Source organism: Homo sapiens, chromosome 4 (genome assembly GCF_000001405.40).
Source record: "Homo sapiens chromosome 4, GRCh38.p14 Primary Assembly".
In the NCBI taxonomy this organism is placed as follows: domain Eukaryota; kingdom Metazoa; phylum Chordata; class Mammalia; order Primates; family Hominidae; genus Homo; species Homo sapiens.
In genome coordinates, this window is record NC_000004.12 from 40,098,414 (window position 1) to 40,111,024 (window position 12,611).

At 40.0% G+C, this 12,611-nt stretch overlaps 1 protein-coding gene across 12 annotated transcripts in view; it reads left to right on the plus strand.

Annotated features, from left to right (window-relative positions):
- Positions 1-12,611, plus strand: part of N4BP2 (NEDD4 binding protein 2) — a 133,621-nt gene that overhangs the window by 41,564 nt on the left and 79,446 nt on the right. For 8 of the 12 annotated variants that reach the window (XR_007057942.1, NM_018177.6, XM_011513716.3 and 5 more), the window contains 2 exons: positions 3,662-4,805; positions 8,487-8,611. Coding sequence is in view for 11 of the 12 variants with exons in the window: in NM_018177.6 (NP_060647.2) it covers positions 3,662-4,805; positions 8,487-8,611 (1,269 nt within the window). In the remaining variant the exon portion in view is untranslated. Of the gene's footprint in view, positions 1-178; positions 284-1,622; positions 1,714-3,661; positions 4,806-8,486; positions 8,612-12,611 lie in introns of all 12 variants that reach the window. The other 4 variants (NM_001318359.2, XM_047415956.1, XM_011513720.1 and 1 more) reach the window with 3 other exon arrangements.

Consider the following 12,611-nt stretch of genomic DNA (forward strand, 5'->3'; position numbering starts at 1 on the left):
AGGTTATTAATAACTTGTCATACATTGTTTAGAAGTATGTAGACAGAAGGGAGTTTATATAAGTTGGCTAGATGAGTAAATTAAATGTTGATGCTTAGTATTGTTACTAGCCATGATTAGTATAAGGTAAAATTATTCTGGATTTGGGAAGTTTTGGTAATGTGTTATAAACTTCCAGTTTCAGTCATCGTGTGGTCTGCGAGCATATCTTGTCCAGTTATGCATGTAGAAAACCAGTTGTCAGCAGTGCATGATGCTCAGAAATGACAGTATATTGAGTTTTGTAAGTTACTTTGACATTTCCTAATTTTGATATGTTTAAAATGTAATTGTTGCATATAAACTAATACAGCAATGAGGAATTACAAGAAATCCACATCATCCTATACCATAACAAAAAAACTTTTTTGTTTTCCAGAATCTTCTATAGACCTTGTTCATAAGCATTTGAGATTTGAGTGGTGGAATTTTGTTATTATGCGTTTTTAACTTAACATAAGCATTTGTCTATGTTGCTGTAATCTGTATTTTTAATGGGTTTCTAATCTACTGAGTTGTGCTGTAGTTTATTTAATTATATCTACGTTTTTCGTGAATAATTAATATTGCAGAGAACATCTTGGTAAAAATATTTTTTTCTTTCTTTTGGCTTTTTTTTCTTAGTTCCAAAATCTTATTTTCTTGCGTCACAGGGTAAGAACTGCTTTGGCTCTTGGAAGCATACTGCTGAATTGCCTACCAATGAGGTGTGCTGACTTGTAATTCCACCAGGCTTGCATAAGTGTAGTGGTTTCACTTCAGCCTTTTCAACATTGTGTGGTAGTGTTTTAAGATTTTTTGTTTTTTGAGACGGAGTTTCGCTCTTGCTGCCCAGGCCGGAGTGCAGTGGCGCCATCTTGGCTCATGGCAACCTCAGCCTCCCGAGTTAAAGTGATTCTCCTGCCTCAGGCTCTGAAGTAGCTGGGATTACAGGCGTCCGCCACTGTGCCTGGCTAATTTTTTTTTTTGTATTTTTAGTAGAGAATGGGGTTTCATCATGTTGGCCAGGCTGGTCTCGAACTCCTGACCTCAGGTGATCCACACGCCTCAGCCTCCCAAAATGCTAGGATTACAGGCGTGAGCCACTGCACCCGGCCCATGTTTTAAGATTTTAATAGGAATAAAATTGCATTTTTCCTAATTTGTGTTTTTTTAATAAAGAGGAATGTTGAACATTTTTGTACATGTTTGTTTATTCTTGTATTCTTGTGTAAATTGTTCATTCATTGAAAAAAAATTTTTTTATACCATGGTTTTAATTTTTCCCAGCAATCTGTATAAGGACTTTTTTTAATGTGATAAGTACCTATCCATTTTGATCTTTAATTTACTTAGTGTAATTTTTCATTGTATAGACATTAAGTTTTTAGTTGATCTTTTCTGGTTTTACTGTCATGTAGATTTTTTTCATAGAAATACTCCTTACGTTTGCTTTCTTTTTTTTCCCCCGTCCCTGCCCACCCCCGCCACCTTTTTTTTTCTTCCATTTTTAGGTTTTCTGTCCTTTGTAGTATTGCTATGATCTCCTAATTGGTCTCTGCCAGGCTTGCCCCCTCCAATCCCTCTTTGTTTTTCTTCTTAAGGGAACTTAATTGGGTGCTTACTAGGTGCCAGTTCTTGTGCACAGCACTTTTTCATGGATTATCTCATTTAATCCTCACAGCAACCTATGAGGTAGGTGCTTTTATTATCCCCATATTACAAATGAGAAAATCGAGGTTTAGGAAAGTTAACTTGTTGAAAGTGTCATAGCCAGCAGTAGAGATTTAAATGTTGGTGTTCTGACTCCAGACCAGAGCTGTTACCTACTCTGCTGTGCTGTTTCCAGACTTATCTTTCTTAAAACAGCAAGACAAAACACAAAATAAACAACCCCTCCCTCCAAACTTCAGATGCTTAAAAATTCTTATTTTGTTTTTTTTTTTGGTTTCCTTTTTTTTTTGAGATAGGGCCTCACTCAGTCGCCCAGGCTGGAGCGCAGTAATCACTTTCACTAGAGGCTCACTGTAGCCTCGACCTCATGGGCTGAAGTGATTCTCCTACCTCAGCCTCCTATGTGGCTGGTACTATACGCACATGCTACCACACTGGTTAATTTTTGTAGAGACAGGGTTTTTCCATGTTGCCCAGGCTGGTCTCGAACTCCTGGGCTCAAGCGATCTACCTGCCTCAGCCTCCCAAAATGTTAGGATTATAGGCATGAGCTGCCACACCTGGCCTTAAAATTTCTAATGGCTCCCTATTTGTGTTATAACAGAACGAGCTCAGCATTGGAGTCAGATATACCAGTCCTGGCTCTGTCACTGACTATCTGTGTGACTTGGGTCAAGTTAATGTACTTTTTAACTTCATTTCTTCATCTGTTTGCTAGGAATAATATACCTCATGGTAGTATTTGAGGATTCAGTGAGGTGATGTGTATAAAACTTCTAGCTCAAATGCTATGACTGGTAGTTTCCTTCAAGTTCCCTTCGAAAATAAAATTAATATTTCTTAACATGACATACAGGACTCCTCCCAATTTCACCCAATCGACCTCCTTCTAGGGAGAGCCAAGCCTGGGTTTACCCTTTTTTCTCTTGTGTCTGGCAAGTTACTTTTTAATCTTCAAGTCCCAGTTCACATATCACCTTATGTGAGATCTTTTCTTATTCTCCTTTGTGCTTCTATGGCATTTGTACATTATCAAAAGTGTGCATTATTTATTTATTTATTTATTGTTGAGAGGGAGTCTCGCTCTGTCACCAAGGCTGGAGTGCAGTGGCGCGATCTCTGCTCACTACCACCTCTGCCTCCCGGGTTCAAGAGATTCTCCCACCTCAGGCTCCTGAGTAGCTGGGATTACAGGCATGCGCCGCCACTATGCCCAGCTAATTTTTATATTTTTAGTAGAGATGGGGTTTCGCCACGTTGGCTAGGCTGGTCTCTAACTCCTGACCTCAGGTGATCCACCCGCCTCAGCCTCCCAAAGTGCTGGGATTACAGGCATGAGCAACCACGCCAAAAAGTGTGCATTATTTAATCTGTATTATATTACAGTGTAATTGTCTCTAATATAATTGTTTTAAATCTCTATTAGATTGCAAAGTTCTTTGAGCATATTAAAGATTTTTTTTTACAAAATATTTCTGATATGCAGTACATGCTCAAATATTCTTTGTAGTAAGTGAAATTCATAGCGTGGATCATGTAAATAAGTTAGATTTACTAAGAGAATACATAAAATACTTAATATTTAAAAGTTTGCATGCAATAGGTAAGTATTTGTTAAACAACAGGCTTTAGGACTTTTATAAATAAGCCTAATATGTCCAATTACAGATATTTATGTATTTACTCAATTCAGCAAATAATATTTATTTGATGATAGTTTATTAGCTTGGTTTATTACTGTTTTCCTGAAAGAATAGGATTGCATGTCTCCATCATTCAGACTTTTTGCTACTACAGACTTTGGTATGTTAATAAAATATTAATTTTTTAAAAATAACATGAATATTGTACATTTATATTCTGTTCAATGCAAAATCCAATATAATTTTAGCTGGATTTTAATAAAATTATTAAATCTGTTTTCTCTGTCTATATTTTTGTTGTTGTTATTATTCTTGTTGTTGTACAGTTGAAAATGCTATGGATTGTCTATTAGAATTATCTGCCACTGATACCAAGATAGAAGAATCATCTTCACAAAGTTTCGTTGCTTCTGAGAACCAAGTAGGTGCAGCAGAAAGTAAAATAATGGAAAAACGTCCTGAAGAAGAGAGTGAAGATTCAAAAATGGATTCATTTTTGGACATGCAGCTAACTGAAGACCTGGATTCCTTAATACAGAATGCTTTTGAGAAATTGAACTCTTCTCCTGATGACCAAGTATACTCATTTTTGCCTTCACAAGATGTTAATAGTTTTAATGACTCAAGTGAGTTTATAAATCCTGATTCAAGTAATATGACTCCCATTTTTTCTACACAAAATATGAATTTGAACGGTGAAAATTTAGAGAATTCTGGTTCTACTTTAAGTTTAAACCCATTACCTTCACATTCAGTTTTGAACGAGTCCAAGTGTTTTATAAAGGATAACACATTGGCTTTGGAAAGTAACTACCCGGAAGATTCTCTTCTCAGTAGTTCTTTAAATGTAGCAAGTGACTCCATCGCAGGTTGTAGCAGTCTCAATCAAAAACAGAAAGAACTTTTAGAATCTGAGTGCGTTGAGGCTCAATTCTCTGAAGCTCCTGTAGATTTGGATGCCAGTGAACCTCAGGCTTGTTTAAACCTTCCAGGGCTTGATTTACCAGGTACAGGTGGGGATCAGAAATCTACTCGGGTCTCTGATGTGTTTCTACCTTCCGAAGGGTTCAACTTCAAGCCACACAAACATCCTGAACTGCCAACTAAGGGGAAGGATGTGAGTTACTGCCCGGTACTTGCTCCTCTCCCATTGCTGTTGCCTCCTCCGCCACCTCCACCGATGTGGAATCCAATGATTCCTGCTTTTGACCTCTTCCAAGGAAACCATGGCTTTGTAGCTCCTGTTGTAACCACAGCTGCACACTGGAGATCTGTCAACTACACATTTCCACCCTCAGTTATTTCTCACACTTCCCCAACAAAAGTATGGAGAAATAAAGATGGAACAAGTGCTTATCAAGTACAAGAAACCCCAGTTTCTCAGGTTGTAAGAAAGAAGACATCTTACGTTGGACTAGTTCTTGTTCTTCTCAGAGGTCTTCCGGGATCTGGAAAATCTTTTTTGGCAAGGTATGAGGTTTGATTGGGTTTTTAAAAAATAGTATAATGTCTGAATTTGAACACAAGTATGAATAAATAGGCAAAATGCTTTGCTTAGTAGAGATCTTTAGTAACCCCTAAAATGTTTTCTTTTTACTAAGGTTTCCTAACTTTGTGTAGCTAATAACACTGTTTTCTGTGGAAGTTTATTGAAACCGTTCATCTTGGAATATCTCTTTGAAAGACAGAAGAAAAAATTAAAGACAATTTCAAAATTGTGAGCTATTGATGTAGTAGTAGAAGAGAGCTAATTTGAGTGGGAGAAAGATGAGTTCAGCTTTGATCACAGAGTTAAAGAGATATAATTGATCTTGATTTCATGGAATGGAAGACTTAAATACATTAATTTTACTGGTAGTTGGAAATTCAGGATTATAGAGTGTTGTTAAATAATGCTTTTAGAAATGTGTGATTTGAAGGAAGAGAGTATAGGATGACAACTGGTAGTCAGAGAACTTCAAGTTTTCAGGGACTTTTCTGTTCCAAAATAGAGTACCATCAGTTATTTGATCTCATATATACACCTTTATCCCTTCTGTAGTTAAGGTAGGCTGTGAGTGCCTTAATCTGGGAGACAGGAGTCAGTGTTAGAGGCAGCTTTGTAATGGTTTCAGTGGCACTCCTTGAAGAGTATTGTTTTCATAGTCCCTCTCTATCCCTGCTTAACCTTTAAATTCCAGAAGATTTCACCTAATCTATTTTATATGCTAGTTCTTTTTTTTTTGAGACGGAGTCTTGCTCTGTTGCCCAGGCTGGAGTGCAGTGGCGCGATCTCGGCTCACTGCAAGCTCCGCCTCCCAGGTTCATGCCATTCCTGCCTCAGCCTCCCGAGCAGCTGGGACTACAGGCGCCCACCACCACGCCCAGCTACTTTTTTGTATTTTTAGTAGAGACGGGGTTTCACCGTGTTAGCCAGGATGGTCTCGATTTCCTGACCTCGTGATCCACCCGCCCCGGCCTCCCAAAGTGCTGGGATTACAGGCGTGAGCCACCGCGCCTGGCTTGCTAGTTCTTTTTTTTTTTTTTTCCTTTTTCCAAATTTTAACCATTAGCCTTCTAACATTATCAGTTGGGTCTCTATTTGATCCTGGGTGTATCTAGTCTAGTCTTAATGAATATGCATAGATAACTGGAGAATGTCCTTCATAAACTTATTTTTAGTTTTTTTTTTTTGATATCTTTTCTGTGTCTGGGTTTCTCTGCTAGTAAATTTCCACATATTCTGCTGATACACTTATAAGCATATTTTTCAGTAGACATGTAGGCTTTTCTAACTGACTTAATAACAACAACAACATAAAACAATTTAATATTATAGATGTTACTGTCAGTCATGGCAGTGTGTTTCATGAAAGAGATTGGACTGAAAGGTGGTACCTTAGAAGGCAGTTGAGCTGTGAGACAAGTTTGAAGAATAGGTTTCAGGGGCCTTTAGAATCAGAGGCAGCTACAGTGTGGGTAAAGAAAAATGTGCTTTTCACAAGGTAGAAACTTAATATTTTTTGAATGAAGAGAGAGAAATAACAGGAAGAGTGTTGAGACATAGAACCTGCGTTGTCTTTTTTTTTTTTTTGGAGACAGAGTCTTGCTCTGTCGCCCAGGCTAGAGTGCAGTGGTGCGATCTCGGCTCACTGCAAGCTCCGCCTCCCAGGTTCACGCCATTCTCCTGCCTCGGCCTCCGGAGTAGCGGGACTACAGCCACTGCCACCGCGCCTGGTTAATTTTTTGTATTTTTAGTAGAGATGGGGTTTCACCGTGTTAGCCGGGATGGTCTTGATCTCCTGACCTTGTGATCCGCCCGCCTCGGCCTCCCAAAGTGCTGGGATTACAGGCGTGAGCCACCACGCCCAACAATCCTGCGTTGTCTTGAAGAGAATGGTCTAGTATTCAAACCAAAGGAAAACGATGAGTGGAAAAAGCCTTTTGAATTTATTGGAAAGAAGGTCATAAATGGATATCTGAGAAACAATTTTGTTGTCCTGTGAGGACAAAAGGGTTTAACAAGCTCTGATGATGGAGTTAAAGGAAGGAGAGAAGTTGGGTAGTAGTTGAAAGGGGTCCCAAAGTGTAGTTACAATTTTTTTTTTTTTTTTTTGACAGAGTCTGACTCTGTCACCCAGGCTGTTGTGCAGTGGTGTGATCTCAGCTTACTGCAACCTCCACCTCCCCAGGTTTATGAGATTCTCCAGCCTCGGTCTCCTGAGTAGCTGGGATTACAGGTATCTGCTGCCACCCCCAGCTAATTTTTATATTTTTAGTAGAGACAGGGTTTCACCATGTTGGCCAGGCTGGTCTCAAACTTTTTTTTTTTTTTTTTAAGAGACAGGGTCTTGCTTTGTCACCCAGGCTGGAGTGCAGTGGCACGTTCATAGCTCAGTGTTGCCTTGAATTCCTGGGTTCAAGCAATCCTCCTGCCTTGGCCTCCTGAGTAGCTACGACTACAGGCATGGGCCCACCACACCCGGCTCATTTTTAAATTTTTTGTAGAGACAGAGTCTTACCAGCTTGCCCAGGCTCATCTCAAACTCCTGGGCTCAAGCAGTCTTCCCACCTCAGCCTCCCAAAGTGCTGGGACTATAGGCATGAGCTACCATACCCAGCCTAGTTAGAATTTTTAAAGATAGCTGAGATATATACATGTTTAACGGTAAAAAAGGAAGTGTCAGAGAAGGGAAAGCTACAAAGAGAAGAGGATAAACAGGAATTGGGATCAAATGAGCATTCACTAGAATGTAAGCTCCATGAGTGCAAGCTTTTGTGTCTTTTTTTGTTCATTGATGTATGCTCAGTGCTTAAAACAGTGCCTGGCACTTAATAGATGCTACAGAAAGGGACATATATTTTCAGAAAAGGATAATTAAAAATTTGTTAATCTTCTAACCATTATAAAGATTTTATAGTTAAGGATAAAAGGTCTTTGTAACATTAAAAACAAGTTTCTGAATATTAATTTACATAAAGCAAAATAGACCTGCCTTAGGTCAGATTTTTTTTGGAATTAAACTTCTGCTTAGAGTATTTTTAGTATGATTTGTTTGAATATTACAATATGTTCTTTTATTTATCTCTTTGTGTTTAATTTTTTTTCTTTTTTGAGAGAGGGTCTTATTCTGACTCCAGTGCAGTGGTGCAACCTTGGCTCACTGTAACCTAAACCCCCTGGGTTCAAGTGATCCTCTCAACTTAGCTTCCCAAGCAGCTGGGACTATAGGTGCACACTACCACACCTGCCTAATTTTTGTCTTTTTTGTATAGTTGGGTTCTTGCTATGTTGCCGAGGCTGATTTTTACTCTTTTATTTTATTTATTTATTTTTTTGAGATACAGTCTTGCTCTGTCTCCCAGGCTGGAGTACGGTGGCGCAATCTCAGCTCACTGCAACCTCTGCCTCCTGGGTTCTAGCAATTCTCATGCCTCAGCCTCCCTAGTAGCTGGGACTATAGGCGCATGCCACCGTACCTGGCTAATTTTTGTATGTTTAGTAGAGATGGGATTTCACCATGTTGGCCAGGCTGGCCTTGAACTCCTGGCCTCAAGTGATCCACAAAATGATAGTACTTGAATAATTTATTTTGTTTATGACTTTGGAAAAATTAGGAGAGAAAATTTAGAAGAAAAGGTAATGAAAATTATTTCATTTATCTTTCACAGGACTTTGCAAGAGGATAATCCAAGTGGAGTCATTCTTAGTACTGATGATTATTTTTATATAAATGGACAGTACCAGTTTGATGTAAAGTACTTAGGAGAAGCACATGAATGGAACCAGAATCGTGGTAAGAACAGATAATCAGATTCTGGGTAACGTTATGAGTAATACAAAGAAAAAATTCACTTAGTATTTGTTTGTGTGTTTGTTTTTGTTTTTTGAGACAGGGTCTCGCTGTGTTGCACAGGCTAGAGTGCAGTGGCATGATCTTGGCTCACTGCAGCCTTGACTTCTGGGTTCAGGTGATCCTCCCACCTTAGCCTCCCAAGTAGCTGGGACCACAGATGTGCCACCATGCCTGGCTAATTTTTGTATTTTTTGTTGTCCAGCCTGGTCTTGAACTCCTGGGCTCAAGCAATCTGCCTCTCTTAGCCTCCCAAAGTGCTGAGTTTGCAGAAGTGAGCCACTGCGCCCAGTTAAATTGGCTTAGTATTTTTTTTTTTTCGAGATGGAGTCTCACTTTGCGCCCAGGCTGTAGTACAGTGGTGCAATCTGGGTTCACTGCAACCTCTGCCTCCTGGGTTCAAGTGATTCTTCTGCCTCAGCTTCCTGAGTAGCTGGGATTACAGGTGCATGCCACCGCACCTGGCTAATTTTTGTATTTTTTATAGAGACGGGGTTTCCCCGTGTTGGCCAGGCTGGTCTCGAACTCCTGACCTTAGGTGGTCCGCCTGCCTTGGCCTCCCAAAGTGCTGAGATTACAGGTGTGAGCCACCGTGCGTGGCCTATAACTGTATAGTATATATAAAATTTTAACTGTCATTAACATTAATTCTTATGTTACATAGTAAGAGGTGAGTTTATTTCATAGGGTGGTTATAAGGATTCAAAGAGTTAATTTTTGTAAGGTACTTAGAATATTGTGTGGCATATTTAAGTTATCAGTAGGGATCTTTTGAGAAGTAAATCTAATTTTCTGCTTGGGTCTCAGAATAGCTGTAAGGAAATTGCAGTTGTTTCCTATGTATCTTTTTTTTTTTTTTTGACACAGTATCTCGCTCTGTTGCCCTGGCTGCAGTGCAGTGGTGTGATCTCGGCTCACTGCAACCTCCGCCTCCCACGTTCAAGGGATTCTCATCCTCAGCCTCCCAGCCTGAGTAGTTGGGACTATAGGTGTGTGATACCATGCCTGGCTAATTTTTGTATTTTTAGTAGCGACGGGGTTTTGCCACATTGGCCAGGGCCAGGCTTGTCTCAAACTCCTGGCCTGAAGTGGTCTGCCTAACTCGGCCTCTGAAAGTCCTGGGATTACAGGTTTGAGCCACCATGCCCAGCCTGGTTACTGCTTTCTAAAATGGAATTTGAACCACCAGAAATGGAATTTGACCAGTTAACCACTGGTTTTCCTTAGATTGGTTTACTCTTTTTTTTTTGAGACGAAGTCTTGCTTTGTTGCCCAGGCTGGAGCGCAGTGGCGTGATCTCGGCTCAGTGCAACCTCTGCCTCCCAGGTTCAAGCGATTCTCCTGCCTCAGCCTCCCCCTGAGTAGCTGGGATTACAGGCACGTGCCACCATGCCTGGCTAATTTTTGTATTTTTAGTAGAGACGGGATTTCACCATGTTGGCCAGGCTGGTCTTGAACACCTGACCTTGTGATTCACCTGCCTCGGCCTCCCAAAGTGCTGGGATTACAGGCATGAGCCACTACGCCTGGCAATTGGTTTACTTTTTATGGAAGATAGTGTGAGAATAAAAACGACTCTCTAAACTGAATCTGTGGGGACATCATAGGTAAAAATTTAGTTTCCTTGCTAGTGTAACTGTCTATTCAGTGAAGATAGTTTTATCATTAAATGTTTATTTGCATAGTTTGAATTTTCTATGGAGAATCTTGTTAAGATATAGGGACTGTATTTTCCTCAGTTTTTTTTTTTTTTGGAGACAGAGTCCTGCTCTGTTGCCAGGCTGGAGTGCGGTGGCGTGATCTTGGCTCACTGCAATGTCTGCCTCCCGGGTTTAAGCGATTCTCCTGCCTCAGCCTCCTGAGTAGCTGGGACTACAGGCATATGCCACCATGCCCAGCTAGTTTTTGTATTTTTAGTAGAGACAGGGTTTCACCATGTTGGCCAGGATGGTCTCGATCTCTTAACTTTGTGATCCACCTATCTCAGCCTCCCGAAGTGCTGGGATTACAGACATGAGCCACCACACCTGGCCCTCAGTCTTTTATGATAAGTGTACTGTAAAGGTGATTCTTGGGTTTGCCATCTTCAGACATTGTTAAATTTTTATATATTCTTTTTTGAACTAAAGATTAAGAATTCAGGAATCTGAAAATGCCAACATAACTAAAACCAAAGGAGGCAGTATGATTTGGTGATGAAGATCACCCTTGGATTCACCAGTTACTAGCTATATGATCTTGTGCAATTTACTTATACTTTCCAAGGCCCAGTGTCCCCTTTGTAAAAGGGAATAATAATACTTAACTCCCAGGATTGTTGTGAAAGTTAAATGAAGGTGAAAAGTGTTAACATTGGCTGGGCGCGGTGGCTCATGCCTGTAATTCCAGCACTTTGGGAGGCTTAGGCAGATGGATCACCTGAGGTCAGGAGTTTGAGACCACCCTGGCTAACATGGCGTTACCCCATCTCTACTAAAAATACAAAAATTAACCGGGCATGGTGGTGCACACCTATAGTCCCAGCTACTTGAGAGGCTGAGGCAGGAGAATTGCTTGAACCTGGGAGGCGGAGGTTTCAGTGAGTCAGGATCCCACTACTGCACTCCAGCCTGGGTGACAGAGCAAGACTCTGTCTCAAAAAAAAAAAAAGTGTTAGCATGGTTCAGCATGCCCTTATAACAGCAACAATAATATATGTTAATAGGCGGAATTCATTTTAAAACTGCTTTGTTAAGACAAAATTCATGTGCCATACAAATCATCCATTTAAATTGTATAATTCAGTAGTTTTTAGAACTTAATATTCAGGGCTGTGCATTCGTTAATACACTCTATTTAATTTGGCTTTGCTGCAACTTTTAGAACACGCTAAATTTTAGAACATTTTTATCATCTCAGAAAGATTCTGTACCTATTAGCAGTCACTCTTCATTTCTTTCCAGTCTGTGTTTTGTCCCTATAGATAATTTGCCTATTCCAGACATTTCCTACAACATGTGGACTTTTGTGATTGGCTTCTTTCACTTAGTATAATGTTTTCAAGCTTCATCCATGTTGTAGCATGTGTTTCATTCCTTTATATGGATGAGTAAGATTCCACTGGGTGGATATATCACATTTTATTAATCTATTCATCAGTTAATAGACATTTGAGTTGTTTTCACTTTTTGGCTATTAAGAACAGTGCTGCTATAAACAAACACACATGTCTATGTCTAACCTTTTTAGGAACTGCCATGCTGTTTTCCAAAGCAATCATACCTTTTTATGTTTCCTCTAATAATTTATGAGGGTTTCAACTTTTCTACATCCTCACCAACACTTGTTATTGTCCGTTTTTTTGATTATTCCTATTCTGGTAGGTGTGAAGTGGTATCTCACTGTGGTTTCAATTTGCTTTTCTCTGATGGCTAATGATGTGGAACATCTTTTTGTGTGTTTTTTGGCCATTTGTATATCTTCTCTGGAGAAATGTCTATTCATATTTGCTCTGTCACTTAGACTGGAGTGCAGTGGCACGATCTTGGCTCATTGCAACCTCCGCCTCCTGGGTTCAAGTGATTCTTGTGCCTCAGCCTCCTGAGTAGCTGGGATTACAGGTGCAAGCCACTACGCCCGGCTAATTTTTGTATTTTTAGTAGAGACGGGGTTTCACTGTGTTGGCCAGGATGGTCTCGAACTCCTAACCTCAGGTGATCCGCCCGCCTCAGTATCCCAAAGTGCTGAGATCATAGGTGTGAGGTACCGTGCCCAGCCTCCTTTGCCCATTTTTAAATTGGTTCTTTGTTTCTTCATTAGTGAGTTGTTAGAGACTGGGCAGAACTTTGAAAACTTCCAAATAAATTACTTGTAAGACTTACTTGTTGTGGTACATCATTAATTTCCTGTATGGTCTAATTCCTTTGGAAGAAAGGTAAGAAAATCCCTTGTGCAATGGTGTATT